General features: G+C 36.2%; 1 protein-coding gene across 52 annotated transcripts in view, besides 1 other annotated feature; it reads right to left on the bottom strand.

The window, feature by feature from the left end:
- The window catches only part of EHBP1 (EH domain binding protein 1), a 372,610-nt gene that overhangs the window by 21,801 nt on the left and 330,759 nt on the right, over positions 1 to 20,050 (bottom strand). The gene's annotated exons all lie outside the window — the stretch shown is intronic.
- Positions 955 to 1,024: an enhancer, noted in NCBI's record as "active region_15873". NCBI's record gives its function as "activates an Ori minimal core promoter by ATAC-STARR-seq in GM12878 lymphoblastoid cells {active_cell/tissue: GM12878}" and the evidence as "EXISTENCE:reporter gene assay evidence [ECO:0000049][PMID:35858748]".

Below are 20,050 nucleotides of genomic sequence, written 5' to 3'. Positions count from 1 at the left end.
TCAAAATAAGCATTTGAGTAAAAACAAATGGTCTTAAAAGTGTTAAATTTTGACTCCATCTAATTTTTTTTTTTTTTTTTTTTTTGAGACAGGGTCTTGCTGTGTTGCCAAGGCAGGAATACAGTGGCATCATCACAGCTCACTATAGCCTTGACCTCCTGGGTTCAGGCAATCCTCCTGCCTCAGGCTCCTGAGTAGCTGGGACCACAAACACATGCCACCATGCTGAGCTCATTTTAAGTTATTTGTAGAGACAGGGTATTGCTGTGTTGCCCAGCTGGTCTTGAACACCTAGGCGCAAGTAATCTTCCCATCTTTTTTGTTTTGTTTTTTGTTCTTTTTGAGACGGAGTCTCGCTCTTGTCATCCAGGCGGCAGTGCAATTGTGCAGTCTTGGCTCACTGCAATCTCCACCTCCCGAGTTCAAGTGATTCTCGTGCCTCAGCCTCCCAAGTAGCTGGGATTACAGGCACCTGCCACCACGCCTGGCTAATTTTTGTGTTTTTAGTAGAGATGGGGTTTCACCATGTTGGCCAGGCTGGTCTCGAACTCCTGACCTCATGATCCGCCCACCTTGGCCTCCCAAAGTGTTGGGATTACAGGTGTGAGCCACCGCGCCTGGCTGATCCTCCCACTTTGGCCTCCCAAAGTGCTTGGATTACAGGTATGAACCACCAGACCTTGCATTGGCTCCCTCTAATTTTATTCTCATAAGAAAATAAAATATTTATGACTTTTAAAAATTCAATTCTCTAGAAAATTTTTATACCTGAAATATAAAACTATCTCTAATTTTTTAAAGCACTAAAATTTGTAATAAACTCATTTTTAAAATAAACAATTATATCAATCTAAATGTCTTCCTTGACTTGTATCTTTAACTTTCCTTATGGAGCTAGATCCTTCAAAAGCACAACAGATATAGCCATGAAGAGATCTGTCAGGTTCCAGTTCAGAAGTGTCTAATGTGGAGGACAACATGCTAGTAGGGAAGAAACGTTAGTGCTTGACACAATTCCTAGTTTTGGCCACCAAGTGGTGCTATTAATTCAGAGTGAACTGGCACTGGGGGCATGGGATTGGTTGGCTTTGGGGTGGGTAAAGAGTAGAAGAGCAGTCTACAACCAGTCAGTAAGTACAAGGGACACTGACAAGCCAGATGTTTGCAACTCTGTATACTGTGAATTCATGTATCAATGTCACTAGTTTAAACACAGAGGATAAAACTAACTTACATACTTTCATTTTTACAGGTAAAGTCCACTGTCTTTCCTTAGGAAAATAACCGTTTATGTATATATATTTGTATCAAATCTGATCCTGTAAAGCTACACAGCTGTAAAAATAATCACACTATTTTGATTAATCTTTGTTTCTCTAAAAAATTCCTCCAAATTCCATTAAAACAAAACAAAAAACGGTTAAAGAAAACCAAACTATTAAGCAAACATTACAAACATTAATTAGTAATATTAAGCATCTAAAAATATCTGATTTATTACTATTTTTATTTGATACAGAGTCTTGCTATGTTGTCCAGGCTGGAGTGCAGTGGTGTCATCTCGGCTCACTGCAACCTTCACTGCCCAGGGTTCCAGCGATTCTCTTGCCTCAGCCTCTTCTGTGGCTAGGATTACAGGTGCACACCACCACGCCCAGCTAATTATTGAATATTTAGTAGAGATAGGGTTCTGACATATTGGCCAGGCTGGTCTCGAATTCCTGACCTCAGGTGATCTGCCTGCCTCAGCCTCCCAAAATGCTAGGATTACAGGCGTGAGCCACTGTGCCCGGCCTCTAATGTTTTTAAAAAAAATAGGTATCAACTCAACAGGTTTTCTTTAACTTACACTGTAAACTTTTTCTGATGAGATAGCTCCTTTGAGTGCATGAATACTTTTCACATTTCAGCTCAGAAGTGACAAGTGCGGATAGGGAACAGATACAATGACTATATAAGTTCAGTTTTCTTATGCAAACCACCTACAGGCCTATGAAAAGTGTTAAAAACATAATGAGTAACTAAAAGAAAGACTTAATAATCTACCATCCACTGGAAGAACTGGCAATGTTGGCCAGGTGCGGTGGCTCATGTCTGTGATCCCAGCACTTTGGGAGGCGGAGGCAGGCGGATCACCTGAGGTCAGGAGTTCGAGATCAGCCTGGCCAACATGGTGAAACCCCATCTCTACTAAAAATACAAAAATAACCTGAGTGTGGTGGTGCATGTCTGTAGTCCCAGCTACTCGGGAGGCTGAGGCAAGAGAATCACTTGAACCTGGGAGGTGGAGGTTGCAGTGAGCTGAGATTGCGCCATTGCACTCCAGCCTGTGCGACAGAGTGAGATTCTGTCAAAAAGAAAAAGAAGAAAGAGGAGGAGGAGGAGGAAGGAGGAAAGAGGAAGGAGGAAGGAGGAGAGGAGGAACTGGCAATGTCTCCACAATAGAATGGCCAATGATGTGAAAACACAACTTTGTAAGCCTGCATAACAATGAAAGTAAGGTTCACGACTATTCAGTTGGACAGCTCTGTCTCCAAGATGAAGGACCTAACAAGGGTCAGTAATGCATCCAGTTGTTTCTATACATTAGCATCCGTATTTTTAAGTAAAAATGTTTCGAATGCCGGGCGCGGTGGCTCACTCCTGTAATGCCAGCACTTTGGGAGGCCGAGGTGGGCGGATAACGAAGTCAGGAGTTTGAGAGCAGCCTGGCCAACATAGTGAAACCCCGTCTCTACTAAAAATACAAAAAATTAGCTGTGCGTGGTGGCAGGTGCCTGTAATCCCAACTACTCAGAAGGCTGAGGCAGGATAATTGCTTGAACCTGGGAGGCGGAGGTTGTAGTGAGCAGATATCGAGCCACTACACTCTAGCCCGGGCGACAGTGTGAGACTCCGTTTTAAAAAAAAAAAAAGTTTCCATTTGGGGAAACTGGGAGAAAGGTGTCGGAACAGAGCTTGCACCCTTCTATAAAGTACCTTGATTTTGGTTCGGGACTCAGGGGCCAACGCATACATACTTATCCATCTCTGATGTCATTCTCTGTCAAAACAAATTATGAAATGTTGGTTAATCTTCTTAGGGGATGAAGTCAGGATGAAACAGAGGAGGATAAATGCATTTGCAAAGTTGACTCTTACCTGATGTCCTAAAATAGATTTCTCAAAATACAATGTCTAAGTTCAGTTTGCTTCTGTAAGTGCCTAACACTCATATAATAAGTGTAGGAATTCAGATAAAGGGACTAGCACAATTCCTAAGGCTTCCTCCTAGTTATTAATCTATCTGTGAAAATTATGGCGTTCACAAAACATTCATTAAAGTTACTTTTTACATATAACCTAAGGGTTGAAAAACAACACAATAACAACAAAAATAATTCTCTAGCCTTATGTCAAATTCCTAAACCAGTACTTTTGGCTTTTCTGGGGGGCTGGGGGAGAGACAGAGGGAGAGACGGAGAGAGTATAAGTGGGTGTATGTGAGTTGCAGAGAAGAGGAGAGTTATGATAGAACGAGATGTGTATATTAGAAGCTAAGGAAAATTTAAAGTAAATGTAGAAACAGCTGGGTGTGGTGGTGCATGCCTGTGATCCCAGCTACTTGGAAGGCTGAGGTGGGAGGATCACGAGTCCAGGAGTTTGAGAACAGCTTGGGCAACATAGAGAGACCTTGTCTCAAAAAAAAAAAAAAAAAAAAAAAAAATGAGGCCAGGCACGGTGGCTCATACCTGTAATCCCAGCACTTTGGGAGGCCAAGGCAGGTGGATCACCTGAGATCAGGAGTTCAAGACCATCCTGGCCAACATGGTGAAACCTGTCTCTACTAAAAATACAAAAATTAGCTGGGCATGGTGGCACGTGTCTGTAATCCCAGCTACTCAGGAGGCTGAGGCAGGAGAATGGCTTGAACCTGGGAGGCAAATGTTGCAGTGAGCCGAGATCGCGCTACTGCACTCCAGCCTAGGCGACTGAGCAAGACTCCATCTCAAAAAACAAAAAAAAAAAGAAAGAAAAAAGGCAGAAACAATAATAAATAATTAAACTACTCTGACTGATAGCAGTAGCTACTATCGTATTGAGTGCTCATCCTCTGCCAAGTTCTGTGCTAAGTACTCATAACTTTCTGAAGTAGGTATTATCAGCCTTTTCTTTTCTTTCTTTTTTCTTTCTTTTTTTTTTTTGAGATGTAGTCTCATTCTGTTGTGCAGGCTTGAGTGCAGTGGTACAATCTCGGGTCATTGCAACCTCCACCTCCTGGGTTCAAGCGATTCTCCTGACTCAGTCTCCCAAATAGCTGGGATTATAGGCGCCTGCCACCACACCCAGCTAATGTTTTCTTTTTTTTTTTTTTTTTTTTTTTGAGACAGAGTCTCACTCTGTTGCACAGGCTGGCGTGCAATGGCATGATTTCGGCTCACTGCAACCTCCACCACCCAGGTTCAAGTGATTCTCCTGACTCAGCCTCTCAAGTAGCTGGGATTACAGGCACCTGCCAACACGCCTGGCTAATTTTTTGTATTTTTAGTACAGATGGGCTTCACCATGTTGACCACGCTGGTCTCAAACTCCTGACCTCGTGATCTGCTTGCCTTGGCCTCCCAAAGTGCTAGAATTACAGGCATGAGCCACCTCGCCCGGCCTTAATTTTCGTACTTTTAGTAGAGACAGGGTTTCACCATGTTGGCCAGGCCGGTCTCCAATTCCTGACCTCAGGCAATCCGCCTGCCTCGGCCTCCCAAAGTGCTAGAATTACAGGCATGAGCCACCGCACCCAGCCCAGCATTTTTTTTTCCTTCCTTCCTTCCTTCCTTCCTTCCTTCCTTCCTTCCTTCCTTCCTTCCTTCCTTCCTTCCCTCCCCCTCTTCCCTTCCCTATCCTTTCCTTTCCCTCCCCCTTTCCCTTCTCCTCCCCTCCTCTCCCCTCCCCTCCTCTTCCCTCCCCTCCTCTTCCCTTCCCTTTCTTTCTTTTTCTTTTTTTGAGATGGAGTCTCGCTCTGTTGCCCAGGCTGGAGTGCAATGGCATGCTCTTGGTTCATTGCAACCTCCACCTTCTGGGTTCAAGTGATTCTTCTGCCTCAGCCTCCCGAGTAGCTGGGACTACAGGTGTGTGCCACCACACCCGGCTAATTTTTGTATTTTTAGTAGAGACGGGGTTTCACCATATTGGCCAGGCTGGTCTCAAACTCATAACCTCGTGATCTGCCCGCCTGGGCCTCCCAGTGCTGGGATTACAGACGTGAGCCACTGCTGCCTTTATCTTTTTTAAAACATATGATCAAACAGAGGCTCGGAGAGATTAACTAACTTGTCTAAGAACACCCAGATTCTAGCTGGGATCTTACTGATTTTAAAGTCTATACTCTTAAATCTCTATGCTGTGCTACTTCTCTTAGCGCTTGTAACACTATGAGTTTAGCACATCTTCACTCTGTGTTTCTCAAATGTGGTCTGTGGATCACCTGTATTAGAATTGCCTAGAAGACTGGCTCCATACCAGGTCCAGTGAATCAAAATCTTCTAAGTAAGGCTTGGGAATCTATGTTTTTAACAAATTTCTCAGGCATTTTTTTAATGGATATAAAAGTTTGAGAATCACTGTCTTGGCCCTTTCACAAAGAAGTCACTGAGATTAATTTTTCTTAAAAAAAGAAAGGGTGATATTCCATGTATAACATGTTATTTTAGCATTGGCATGACATTACACAAATTTAATTTCACATTCAGAAGAAAAACACGTTGCTGCCAAGTCAGTTCAAATGCCTAAATTTTGTTTCATAGATAGTTGTTGAGGAAAAACACATTTTCCTGGAATTTCTACTTTTTTAAATGTTAAAAAATTTTATTGCAATCTAGAATAAGGATGTTCCTCACTTCAAGCAACAGACATGTTCCAAATTGAAAATTATGGTGATGTGTTAATTCTTTAGGTTCAAAAATTATACTTTACATTTCCAATTCAAAATTTCTAGTAGTGGAAAATACTTTCTAAATATCACGGGTAGAAACTGTATACATTTGTTTTTCTGGATAAATGAATAAACATGAGTCAGCAGATGAGAAAGTCAACTTAATACTGTATATAGTAAAAAGTTGGGGCATCCAGTGAGTGCCAAGGAGAGAAGAAGAAATAAATGTTAGAAATGAGAACCTTAGGAAGCCCTCTGCATTTCTGAATCAGCAAGGTTCCTTTCTAGAAATCCTATGATCCAGAACCTATCGCATGAACCAGAATGATTCAACAATTAAGTGCTAGTGCTTCTATATATAATTTATATTTTCCTTCTTAAATGGTCTAAATAATGAAATACAGATAGCAACAGAAGCTTGAATTAGCTGAACAAATTGTGAGAATAAAGAAGACTTGAAAGTATGATATTTTAATTTTCCTTGTAACTACAGAAAAAAACTATAGAAAGACAAGAATTAAATTACCAGTTTTTAAAATTGAAAGTAGAAAAAGTAAAAAACAAAAGTACTATAAGCACCTTAAATATAAACTCTCCTTTTATTTATTTTATTTCAGTTTTAGAGACAAGGTCTCATTCTGTTGCTCAGGCTGGAGTGCAATCATAGCTCACTGTAGCTGCAAACTCTTGGGCTCAAGCAATTCTCCTGCCTCAGCCTCTTGAGTAGCTGGGAACTACAGTCATGTGCCACCACAACCAGCTAAATTTTTTAGTTTTTGTAGAGACAAGGTCTTGCTTTGTTGCCCAGGCTTGTCTTCAACTCTTGGCTTCAAGCAATCCTCCTGCCTAAGCCTCCCAAAGTGCTGGGATTACAGGTGGGTGCCACCACACTCAGCTCCCTAAACTCTCCTTTTAAAACAAAATTTACTATTTTCTTTAAACTATATGTCTGTTCATTATTGATTATTCCCAATAATCAAATGCCTCTATACTACATATGTAATACAGAATAATAAATAAAATGTAGAAATGTGAGAAGAGAACAATATTAATTCATTATACCTTTTTTTAGTGCTTGATGATGATAGGTAAAATTCCCAGCATATTGGTGTTTTTCATCTTTTATTTCAAAGGAGATGTTGAGAAATTTAAGTATTAAAAAGATTATATAAATAATAATAGCTAACATTTATGGAGCTCCAAGTGCTTGGTTGCAAATACCAAGTACTTGGTTGCAAATGTTATACTCCAAGTGTTTGGTTGCAAATGCTTGATATAAAGTATCTAATTTAATTCTCACATTTCTCTTAGTTGCCATACTACATCAACTTTGACTTAGTGTGACTATATGTAAACTAATTAGGTTCACTAACCAGGGTTAAGGTTCTACATTCAGTATAAGCATACCAAGGATCAAAACCTCAGGCATAATGAGGGATCCAAGTATATTGGCTGGGCCGGGGACGGTGGCTCATGCCTGTAATCCCAGCACTTTGGGAGGCCGAGGCAGGCAGGTCACTGAAGGTTGGGAGTTCAAGACCAGCCTGGCCAACATGGTGAAACCCCATCTCTATCACAGGACATGAAAGAATGGAAACAAATTTCATCCTTTATGGGAATTAAAGTTGAGTTCTTTACTCCAATTTTTATTTCTAAAGCCATAGTGTCCTCATTCTATTAGTGTACAAACTGAGGGTCCCAGCTGTGAAGATGAGTTAGTAAGCAGTTATCATTCCCCCAGTCAGGGTCCCACCTCACTGCTGCAAGGGATAAGTCCATGTTTTCAGATGAAGGTATGATATGGATTAAATATTGAAGAACAGCCTCTCCTGTAGTTATGCTAACAACAGTAAAAGACCTATGGGCCCTGGGTCCTAATGGACAGGAGCATAGGAGCAATGGTTCACATGAAGACCTTGGAGAGCTGGGCCTTGGAGCACTGTTCTTCTGCCTGGCTGTGATTCCATCAAGATGTGGCAGAATCAATTGTTTGACATGTTCTTATATGCTTTTTTACCTTCTGCATATTGAATTAAAACATAATTTCAGGCTGGGCGCGATGGCTCATGCCTGTAATCCCAGCACTTTGGGAGGCTGAGACGGGTGGATCACCTGAGCTCAGGAGTTCGAGACCAGCCTGGCCAACATGATGAAACCCCATCTCTACTAAAAATACAAAAATTAGTCGGGCGTGGTGGTGGGTACCTGTAATCCCAGGTACTCGGGGGGCTGAGGTGGGAGAATCACTTGAACCTGGGAGGCAGAGGTTGCTGGGAGCCGAGATGACACCATTGCACTCCAGCCTGGGCGACAAGAACGAGACTCCATTCCCCCAACCCCCCAAAACAGAAAAACAAACAAAAAACCCCCCAAAACCCCACATAATTGCATGAAGTTTTATCACTTCTTGTAATTAGAAAATGATGCTGTATTATTTTGCATTCTTGGAGTTAGGTAACATAAAGTAACTAAAATCTTGACACAGTTAAAAACACATATATACAAAACAGAACTATAACACCATATTTATCAAAATCATGTCAGCATTTTGCTTCCAGAAAGGAACAATACTATCAACTCTTAGAGTCTATCAACAGATGTGGCTTATTGCCTCTGAAAATTGTGTTAAAAATTCACTTTGTAGAAAATTTTCAGATATAAAGTATCATTTTTTCTGGTTTCTTTATTATTACAGATTCAGTACTCTATAAATTTTAGTAGAGAAGAATAGGGTAACTCTATACTACTTCAGAACCTTAGTAATCATTTTATTTGCTTTATAACATCAAATTCCCTCATTTATTTTGTTTCTGTTTATGAAAAGTTCCTTTGCAGAGGAAATATTAAAGCCTTGTCTGTCCATCTTATATTTTATATGAGTAGATGTCAACTGGGTATTCAACTTTAATAACCTAGAAAACTTTATTTTCTATTTTATCACGGTATATCATATTAGAAAACAATTTTTAATGACACACCTTCACTTTTTAAATTTTTTTCAGTTCTGTAATTAAAATGCCAAAAGAGATATCTCACTTAGTTTAATGTATATATTTTTAATGACATGGTCTCTTTTCTCATTATAATCTGTATGAAAATAGACATATTAATGTCTATTAAAACAGAATCTCTAGCCAAGCAGGGTGGCACTTGCCTGTAGTCCCAGCTGCTTGGTAGGATGAGGCAACGTAATTGCTTGAACCCAGGAGGCCCAGTCCAGCCTGGGCAACATAGCAAGACCCTGTCTCTAAACAAACAAACAAACAAACAAACACAAAACCACAAAAACCCAGGAACTTTACAAAATGGAGACATGTTATTACACGAATCCTAATTCCCATATAATCCATACTTACGAGGAACATAGAAATAGCACACTAAATAATAAAAAGTAAAGAATTAGCATATTTTTAAAAACTGTTGTTATATTTAGAAGATAGTCTCTACTTTTTCCTGACATTAAAAACTATGGTTGTCCAAGTTACTCCCATTAACACAGGATTTTTAACCTCCATTTTGCTAGAAGGGTGTATAAATTATAATATCTTAAGAGGCAATATTTAAGTCATGTGAACCAAGTACAATGTACAAAAATATAATTTTTCAGGATAAGAGAACATTTAAAGAACAGTATATAGAAACATCAAATATATGTGTTAAATGTGAGAAACACTGGCAAAATTTTTCCTCATATAAAATTCGGAAAGAGTTATTATATCAACATCTTTTCCTTCCTTTCCTGGTTATTTATTAGTTGTACAGAATTAATTTAACTCTAAGCTCAAATATCTTTTTTTTTTGAGACAGAGTTTCACTCTTGTTGCCCCGGTTGGAGTGCAATGGCGTGATCTCGGCTCACTGTAACCTCCACCTCCCGGGCTCAAGCGATTCTCCTGCCTCAGCCTCCCGAGTAGCTGGGATTACAGGCATGCGCCACCACACTCGGCTAATTTTTGTATCTTTAGTAGAGACGGGGTTTCTCCATGTTGGTCAGGCTGGTCTTGAACTCCCGACCTCAGGTGATCCACCTGCTTCGGCCTCCCAAAGTACTGGGATTACAGGCGTGAGCCTGTGCCCAGCCGTGTTCAAATATCTTTATATATAAAAATGTACCCAGTTTTGGTTTTTTCTTCTTTCTAGGTATGGATGGATATGGTAAGAAATGGAGTTGACTACTCTTATTCTCCTGGTAAGTGTACAGTGATTGCTAAAGAAAAGAGAGATTGTGAAAAATATGTTCCTTATAAATACATAATTAAAATCTCATAACATATTATCAACGAACATATTTTTATAACATTTATGCAGATAATCTTAAATTTATGTTGTTATTTATGCCCTAAACAAGTATGTAATATGCCATTTTCTAACTCATAGACTCTAATAGTCTATATAGATCCTGTTTTAATGTTAATGAATTTATAGACACAAATAGCTAGCATCAAGGCTACATGGAAAAGCAGAACACTTTAAGCATTTAATACAGCTAAAGGGGCAGATTAGAGATCAATAACAAAATCACCTGGTAAAAAGGAAAAAGGTGTTGCATTAAAAGGCTTTTTGCTTTACATGTGAAACAATACTGAGAAACCTGTATTTTAGCACTTGTACTCAACAGGCACTCCAAACTATGCAATGATGAGAACAGAAACCCATCCTTTCTAATAATCTTGTGACAAAAGCTAAAAGACATCATCCTATTAACTAGTGATCTCAACTGCTAATGCGGAGTACTTCCTGGTGCCTTTTATGTAGAATGCTGCTATTAAAAAACCACTAAACATTCACTGTGAACAACACAGAATCATTCATCTTTTATCAGCATCTCTTGTTAGAAGAGTATGAGTGGGGCTGAAGGTGTCATTGATATTATGGAGTGGAAATTAATCAGAAATTTTTCTCATATTTTCCTCATCTCACTAATTTACTTTTGTTCAAATTTCCTCCTGTTAAAAAGTTCATACCCAACCCCCTGTTGTACTCTTTTAAGTTGAGAATATTCAACGAGTGCGTCCACTGAAAAGCACCAGGTCCTAACACAAAAAGCATTCGAAATTCTCATTTAGTTGTCTTTATTTTGCTAGCGCCATGTGGTCCTTGAAGATGTAGAAAACACGGGAAGCCGAGTAAAGATCAGAGCAAGCTCATTAGCATTCTGACAAAATTGGAGTGGTGGAGATGTATAGTTTGCCTAGTTTGTCGTTTTGAAAGCTACCGGTGGTAAGCTTTCTATTTCATTGTGCCTTTGTCTTTTGGGGGGGTTTCAAGCAGCAGGGTATTTGTTAGCCCTAGGTTTGCACAATGCATTGTGGGAAACTTTCCTGCACATTCAGCCCTACATAGTATCATTCCAGTTTGAGTCAAAAAGTTTTTTTCACTCTTTATAGGAAAGGACTGTGTGTGAATCTTAATGCATACCTTTAATATGTTCATCACAGCTCTGACTTTTCCTTTTGCCTGAATCATAAAGTCCAAAGAGAGTCAGAACCTAAAGTAGATTATTTTCAATTGTTTATAAATGCTGCCAGTCATTTCAGAATATAACATTAAAACATTAATTTACTTTCTGCTCTTTGTTATAAACAACTAACAAGTAACACAGGACTGATTCACTTAGTTACAATTTAAAGGCTTATTGCTCACTATGTAAGACCCGATTCTATTTTTGAAACTGTGTAGAGAACAGAAATGGTCTGTGCTTTAGAATCATGTAAATAAATACCTCTTAGAAGACTTAAATAAGTTATTACCCTACTCGTTTGATTTTCTTCATCATCTTCTTCATTTTCTTTTCTTTTTTCCTCTTCTTTTTTTAAACATAAGACTCACTTTGAAGAGCTAAGTAGGCTACATTAATGCTACTATTCAACATGAATGTTTCCAAGTTGCAGTGAAATGGATAAAGGTCTTTGGGGATGAATTTATCTGCTAAATCCTTGTGGTTGCCCTTGTATCTTGAATGATGACCCAAAAGAATGTCAACAGCTCATTTTCCCAGAGAGCTGGAAGGAGTCCCTATGCAAGCCATAATCTGCACATTCTCAAAGAACCATTTCAAACATTATATTTCACAAGCTGTTTTAAGTTATTTTCCTCTCATCTCCAGTATCCTAACAGTACTTTGGACATTAGTGCCTCTGAAATGAGGGCCAAAATTTTACGAGACTTCTACATATGGCACACACATTTTGAGATTTACTTAGTGTACATTTTAGAAACATGGTTAGCTTTTGTTACAATAACATATTTGTGGCATAAATGAAAAAAAAGTCTAAACTGAAGATTAGTATTTTTTATCACTGCAGAAAAAGTGCTTTTTTATTATTAGCTATTATATATTTTGCTTAGAATCAAACCTAATTTATGACAAGTATCTACAGTCTTTCTTAATTTATAATTATTAAAAGCCTAGGGGAAGCTAAAGAGCAGTGAGTGAGATATAGTATATGAATAATCTGGTGAAGGTAGTTTAACAGTAAGAGATTGGATCATTTCTATATGACACAGTAGCATTTGGTTATATCATGTTTTATTTCCTTTGTATGACAGGAAACCACTAGACTAGTATGTCATCATCAAGGCAGGTTTTACAATATTAACTGTTCATATTATATTAGAGCATGAAATTAAAATGATGCAACTTTTATTTCTAATTTAGGTTCTAATTTTCACCCCCTACAGCTTTGGTTAGCCTTTTCTATGTTTAAAAGTTCATTAAAAAAACAACAACGGTAACAACAAAACTACAGACCTACTATGTATTATTTTGTGGCTATGATGTGGCTACTTATATTTTGTTAGAACTTGAAACTTGACTAACAAAGCTTAATATTTAAATGTATCCCAACATTGAGTTGTTCTACTGCTCACTTTAAAGCTAAAGAACAGATGTTACTACAGTCATAATGACTGAATTAGTTCTATACTTTGCAATATGAGTATAGCTGCAAAATTATTTATCTCCTTCACTGAATTCTCCTGCCAAAATTTCTTGAATAAAATCATTTTGACTAGCTATATCAAATTAGAGAGCAGTCAGGAATGTTTAAGTCCAGCTTTAAAACAAATATTTTAAGAATTACTTAGACATATGCAAAATAGGGAATGTCCCTCCTGAAACCATGTTTAAAATATATTTTCTATCTTGAATTTAGACTACATTAGAAACCATTTTTGACTTGTAATACCAAGATTGCTGTAATGTTATTCTGTTAAACAACCACAAAAAGATGTAAAAAGGCTGAACTTCTTAAAGCTGCAAATTAACAATTTTCTAATCTTTAAAGCACATTACACTTGGATTTATAATACTGTCAAAGTCCAAAAAAACTAAGTGGAGTTAAAGTATTATAAGTAAACAAATTCTGTTGTATGGTTAGATAAAGCTACACACACACTAACATTGCTTTTTTATGCTAAACCAAACTTGAAGCTTCTTCACAAGTGTTCACATTATACTGGTGTTTAGGTTCCTATGACTTAAAGGCCAGATGTTTTTCACAAATGACCAACAATTGTAGTTAGAATAAATTAATGATTGATTTTTTTAAGCTTTGATGGAATTAAGCAAACTTCTTTTCTCAACGTGCCCATGTGAATGTTTGCCTGTTAAACTTTTTTTTTTTTTTTTTTTTTTGACAAGTGAGGCCACCCGGCAGAAAACAACTGATGCAAAACCCAGGAGTAATCCCTCTGTTTAGTTCAACACTATGGTTAGCCTTAACACTGCCTCTATTATCCAATGGATTTAGAGAAACTTTCATTTATTTGTTGGCCTCAGTTTTCAATTCTGTTGCCCTCTTTAAGGAAACCTAGATTTATTCCTATGTAAATACATTTGCATACTGGTACAAAGAAATGTTCTAGAATTTGGTTACCTTAGAAAGCTAAATTGGGGTTGTGTACTTAAGTAGTTTGAAGAAATAAGTGAAAAGAATCAAGACATAGGTTAATAATCCTACTAAGGATTTTAAGACATATTGGAATGAACGTATAATGTTCATGGTACAAGACTAATGTAATTATTTCTAACAATATTTTAACAATATATGGACATCTATTTTTAAAAACCCTAAAACCACTGGAACCTAGGAAACTTACTCTATTTTCACAAAGTCAGTGTCAAATTGCTACATTAAAATGTGTTATATTTTCCTAAATAAATGTTTTACAATTGTTTTATTACACATATTTACATTCTATAACATTTAGAGTCTAAATTACAAAAGGTTTACTCCACATGAGTAAGGTAGACTACGATTTTTTTAGTTTACTTAGGAGACTCAAATTAGGGATTCATTTAGCTGTGAACACACTATGGAAAATAATCCAGTATAATTTTTTTAATAGGTTTTAAAAATCTAGATGGTTTCTCCTTGAGACATTTAGGTATTGATTTTTCTTTCTTTATTTCTTTTTAAACAAACTATGTAAGAGTATGGATTAAGAGAAGGGAATGAGGCTGGAATGTGAGTCAGAAAATACCTGCTCTAATTATAGCTTTGAGCCAACCTCTAATTCTGGATTCAGTGTTTTTATCAGTAAACTAAAAGGTCTATACTAGATGATCTCTAAGACTTGTCATATTTGCAAACATTTATAGTTACGTGGTAGTATTATATACAAAACAAAGTACCATAATATTAGAAGCTAATATTAGGAATTTGTATTCAAAAGTTGACTCTTAGCCTTCCTTGCTCCAAGTGGCTTTAAAAATTGAATACAGTAGTCCCCCCTTATCACTTACTGAGGTCCAAAAATAGGTGAGTATAGTACAAAATTTTGGGGGGAGGGGAACATAGAGGGGAGAGATTACATTTACATGACTTTTATTACAGTATATTGTTATAATTGTTCTATTTGATTATTAGTTATTGCTATTAATCTCTTACTGTGCCTAATTTATAAATTAAACTTTATCATAGGTATGTATGTATAGGAAAAAACATAGTATATATACATTGTATGTATAGAATCCACAGTACAGTCTGAGGTTTCAGGCATCCACTGGGGATCCCCTGAGGATAAGGAGGGACTACTGTACAGCAGTACAAATTGTACTATGTATACATAGATTGCATAAGACTAACAGTAATAGAACTTCATAATAAAGTCCATCTTTACTATGGACTTTACTCCATATACTCCAATTACTCCATCTACAGTAAATGAATCACATAAGGCTTATAAGGATATCTTAAAATTATTTGGAATACTGTTTCTTAGCAGTTTTCCCTAGTTAAAGCAATGAGCACTTATGGTGAGAAAAATACCTCACCCAGAATGTTATTTACACCTTAACCTAAAGAGGGTGAAATCAGCAATCCCACCCATACCCCATTCCTTCCTTTTTCTTCTCAGCATGTTTATCCTGGAAACATGACATTAGTTTCTAGAAATGTTCAGCTAAGAAAAGTTTCATATAGATTCAGACATTCAAATGTTCATACAGGACATCTGAACTTTATCAAAAGAGTAAAACAGAAAAATGATCAGACATTCCACTATCCAGAAGAGAAGCAGAGGTCTCCAACTGGAAATGTACTTGAGTTTTACAGTGTAAAGTATTCTCTTGGGAATCAAAAATAAACATGCATTTTAGGGTGCTAGCAAGTCATGCAATTTCTCCTATAAAATTGATTTCCCCATTGGACTAATCACATCAATACAAAAACAAATGAACTACCAAAGTGCACTAATTAACAATTTTGCAAGTGAATACAGACATTAGTGCAACACTGCTGCCATTAAAGTCCATTCCACGGTATATCTGTTTCTGTTAACATTTCAATAGGCCAATTAAATGACCTTTCCCCCTTCAAACTCAATTAAGCTATCTGAACTTCAAATGCCACCTTACAACATATTTATACAAAATTTGCATACAAGAAATTAATTTTTTAGTTTTAATGGGCTTATTCATTCAACACTTAGATCACAGAATTTAATATAATGTAAATATAGAATATTATCTGCATATGCAATTGGTGAAATCAATCTTTCCAATCTAACCTTATATATTTTTATTTCTGGTTTATTACTTTAATAATCTTGCAATCCAGTTATAATTTAAAAAATTTAAAACTACAAATAACATTTATTATTTTTAGGCAAACGGAAAACTAAAAGGCAGAAAGCCAAATAAGAAAAAAAAAAAGAAAAAAAAACCTCTAGGTACAAAAAGATATCTTTTGCTCCTTACAAATTAAAAAAAAAGCAGTGATTTATATATCACTAAAAGTTGCAAATTCCTAAGTTCCTCAGCGTTTTGTAATAGAAAAATAAAAAACAGATACACTAAACTTTTCATTTTTTTCATTAGAGAGGGCATAAAGCAGACAAGAACAAGAAAGAAATTAAAAAAATGAAAAAAACAAGACTGAAATCTGACAATTCTATTTCAACTTTCTGAATTAATTTCCAAAAATTTAGTGGCACCACAGGAGTGTACAACAAAAGCATGCTTTCTGGGAAAAAGCATTGACCCTTTTAGAATGTTAATCTGCCATATCACTTGCTAGTCCACCCCAGCATGTACTTTTGCTCCTATCTACAATTAAAAGAATACATTTATTAAGTAGTCTTATCACTGGATGTTTTAGCTTGTAATTCATGCTAACTAGATAGTCAAAGTAAAATTTATTTAAATTTTCATTTCTTTGTAAAACTTTGTAGATGTGGCATATCTCATGATTAGGAACAACAAATAAAGGATCCCCTAGTCTAATCTGCCTAAAATCCCTTTTCATCCAATTGTTTAAGAATGCTTGAAAGGCTCACACCAAGCCTAAGACCACTGCACATATGGGGGAGGGGAACCTCTGAGGTTAGCTAATTAAACTGTTTGTCTTCTAAAACATTTAACTGGCTTTGGAGATTATTCTAATTAAGAATGTTAGATGTATTTTTTAATGTAGCTATTAAAATTAATCATAATCCACCAATCTCATGCACTGAACTAAGTCAATAGAGATGTACTAAAAACCCTGCTGAATTTCTTTAATTTAGAAAAAATAATTTTCAAGAATATCATCAATACGCTTTTAACTTATGTGTGGGTAGAGGAACCATAATATACACTTTCTATTTATTTGAGTGAATTAATATATTTGGTATTCTTAGGCACAATGCGATATACACGGAGGACAGGGGAGGTGTTTCAGCTGGTATTTATACTGTACATGGCACTGTAGGATTATAACTAGGAAATAAGAAACTGCATTTAAAGGGAAAGTAGGTGAACAGGCATGCCCAAATTCATACCATGTCTTTGTACAGATTATACTTCAGAGATCTCAAAACTGTGGCAAATATTTTATACACACACATACCTACATATATATTTGCTGTGTATCTATCTATGCATGCCACAAAAAGAAGCTGGCATGCAAACAGAAAGAATGAAAAAGTCAACAAGCAACCTGCTAAATTTTTATAAAAGTTCTGTTTCCCTTAAATAGTTACAACTAAAACTAAAACAAAATAAACAAATGAATTATGATTGCAATACACATAACAGGCAGCCTCTATTAGAATCAGAAGGGTATTATACTCTAAACACTTTTTCTTCCCTTACTGCTGAAAGATTATACTGGTTATCCCATTAAAGTTGGTAAAATGCCATTCTTGTGTCTTAAAGCTCTAGCATTGGAGGTCAAGAAGTGTATGCTGCTTCTTACAAGGCTAGTGTGGATGTAATCTTCCCAAAGTTACAATAATTAATGTTAAGCTTCTTTAGCAATACGTTTCTGAAAGAACTTGCCTGATAATATACTTACAGCCTGGCTAGCTGTTTGTGTTTCTGTGCAATAAATGTATTCTATGCTACTCACGTACTTCAGCTTAAATCTTTAGTCAAACTAGGATGATGATGAGTAGTTTGACTTATGAACAGACATAATATTTAAATATACAGAAATTAAGTATGCAGGAGATCCTGACATATATATATATATAATTTCCAATATTTATTAATTCTAAACTAACAAATGTACTGAACTCTTTCAAAAGTCTTATTAAATAAAATTTTTCAGGAAAAATGGCACGTATTCTATTATGATCTTTAGCATTTTTACAGAGTCATCTTTTAACATTATAAATAACACTTATCTTTTAAGAAAATCTCCACTCTGAATGAAAATGGAAAATTTAACTTTTACTTAAAATGTATTTAACTTACAGTGTCTGTACTTTCTTTGGAATAAAAAATATATCACGTTTAAGCAACAGGGTACCAAAATAGCATATGAATGCAGAGAAAGCCTGTCAGTACTGTTTTCATTGGTTAAAGGTTTTTTTCTATCTAATAGTTGTATGAATGAAGTAGAAGTGGAAAAAACAGGCAAGAACAGAAAAATAAAACTCTAAGAAACTACCTGTTAACTCAGTGTAGCTGCCATCAACTAGATTCTTTATCTGACAAACTGAGAGAACATTTGGTGTAGTTCTTTTGTTTAATTTATTCCTTTTTATTCCATTTATTCCTAGATGTCAATGAGTGGCATAGAATGGGATGATGGGATTTAAAAAAAAAATCAACTTACCACAAAAGGACAAATGTTTCACTGACTGACATTTATGTGCAAAGCACTGTTGACTCCTTGAGGGAGCCAAAAGATGAATGTAAGATACCATCTTAGCCTCCCTAGTCCAAAGTTTTATAAGCTACTGGAAAGATACGCAAAAGTGTTATAAGAGAAGGAGAGGATAATTCTGGCTGGTGGGATGATCTAGGAAAGCTTCCTTAAGGCAGTTTTAAATAATTCCAGAACAAGTCAAATGTATTCTCTTATACCCCTACTCAGCTCCTATACTCAATTATATAAAATAAACATGAAAAAACCTCAAATAATTATGAATAATTACTATATGTTACCAAGTATTTTAGGCATGTTAGAATGATATTTTACCTCCTCTAAAGCAGGGACCATAGATGGTTTGCTATATGGTTTAGAGAAATTAATACATAGTGATTGTTTTTAAAATACTGAATAAATATAATAATGTGGTAAGCCACATTTGTGAGTAGCCTTATTATTAATACCAATTATAGATAACTTTTAATAAAGTCAAATAGCAAAGAACTACAATATTGGCCACACATCTAATGTAGAGTGGCTTGGTAATCGAAAAAGAAAACATTACTGAAAATAGGCTTTGTTAATTTAGTTTCAAAATAAATTATGGATAATTATGAGTGATATGCATATGTTCTTATTCTTTAAGCTTACAGGAAGCATACTATTCACTATTCAAAAATTGTGGAGAAATAATATTATCCAAAGGCACAAGTGGAACTCGATTTATTTGGCATTCTGACCCTGAGAGAACTCTAGAACAGCTTCCCAGGCAGGAAGGTAACACTTCAGTAAGCCAGCCGGTGCTGTTGCTATCCACGCTAGCCACATTCTCTCCTGCAGTAAGTCATATATCTGGGGATCTGGCTTCTTGGTAATATAGCCATCAGGCATCTTTTCTCCACAACTGCAGACTTCACTGAAGATAATAAAGAACAGCTACATTTATAGCATGGGCAAAACGAATTCAGATTTCCTTCAAAGTAGCAAATTCCCTGCATAATTATTAATACTACCCATGGCCTTCTACGAGAAAAATACATGATGACTCTGGATTACCAAGAGATTAAATAGATAACTCTCCATCTGGAAGGAGATTCATATCAGGAACAATGGAAGAATAATGGATGAAGTATTTAAGTATATTCAGAAATTGGATCATTTTCTGTGCCAACTCATTATTAGTGTAGGTAAAGTTTTTAAAGCACTGTTCTCAAAGGGGAACTCTGTGGACCACCTGCTTCAGAATAAAATAAAATTGTTGTAAAAATGCAGATTCTTAGATCCCACTTCCCATGTCCTGAATCAGAATGTGGGTAAGGGGGTGGGAACAGAGAATTTACAAACTCACCAGGTAATTCTGATGCATATTGAAGTTTGAGAACAATATTTTGGTGTACATGTAATTTCAGAAATAATATTAAGGGGATCCATTACTAATTCTAGCACCACAAAATTACAATAAATGTCAAGAAATTGGAAAATATAAGAAAAGTAATTGGAGCTGTATGCTAAAATTACAAATTTAATGAATACTGTGACATAAATTTCATTAGGTTGAAAATGA

Source organism: Homo sapiens, chromosome 2 (assembly GCF_000001405.40).
Source record: "Homo sapiens chromosome 2, GRCh38.p14 Primary Assembly".
NCBI lineage: Eukaryota > Metazoa > Chordata > Mammalia > Primates > Hominidae > Homo > Homo sapiens.
Note: the sequence above shows the minus strand (reverse complement) of the source record. Positions and strands in the feature narration are given on the sequence as shown.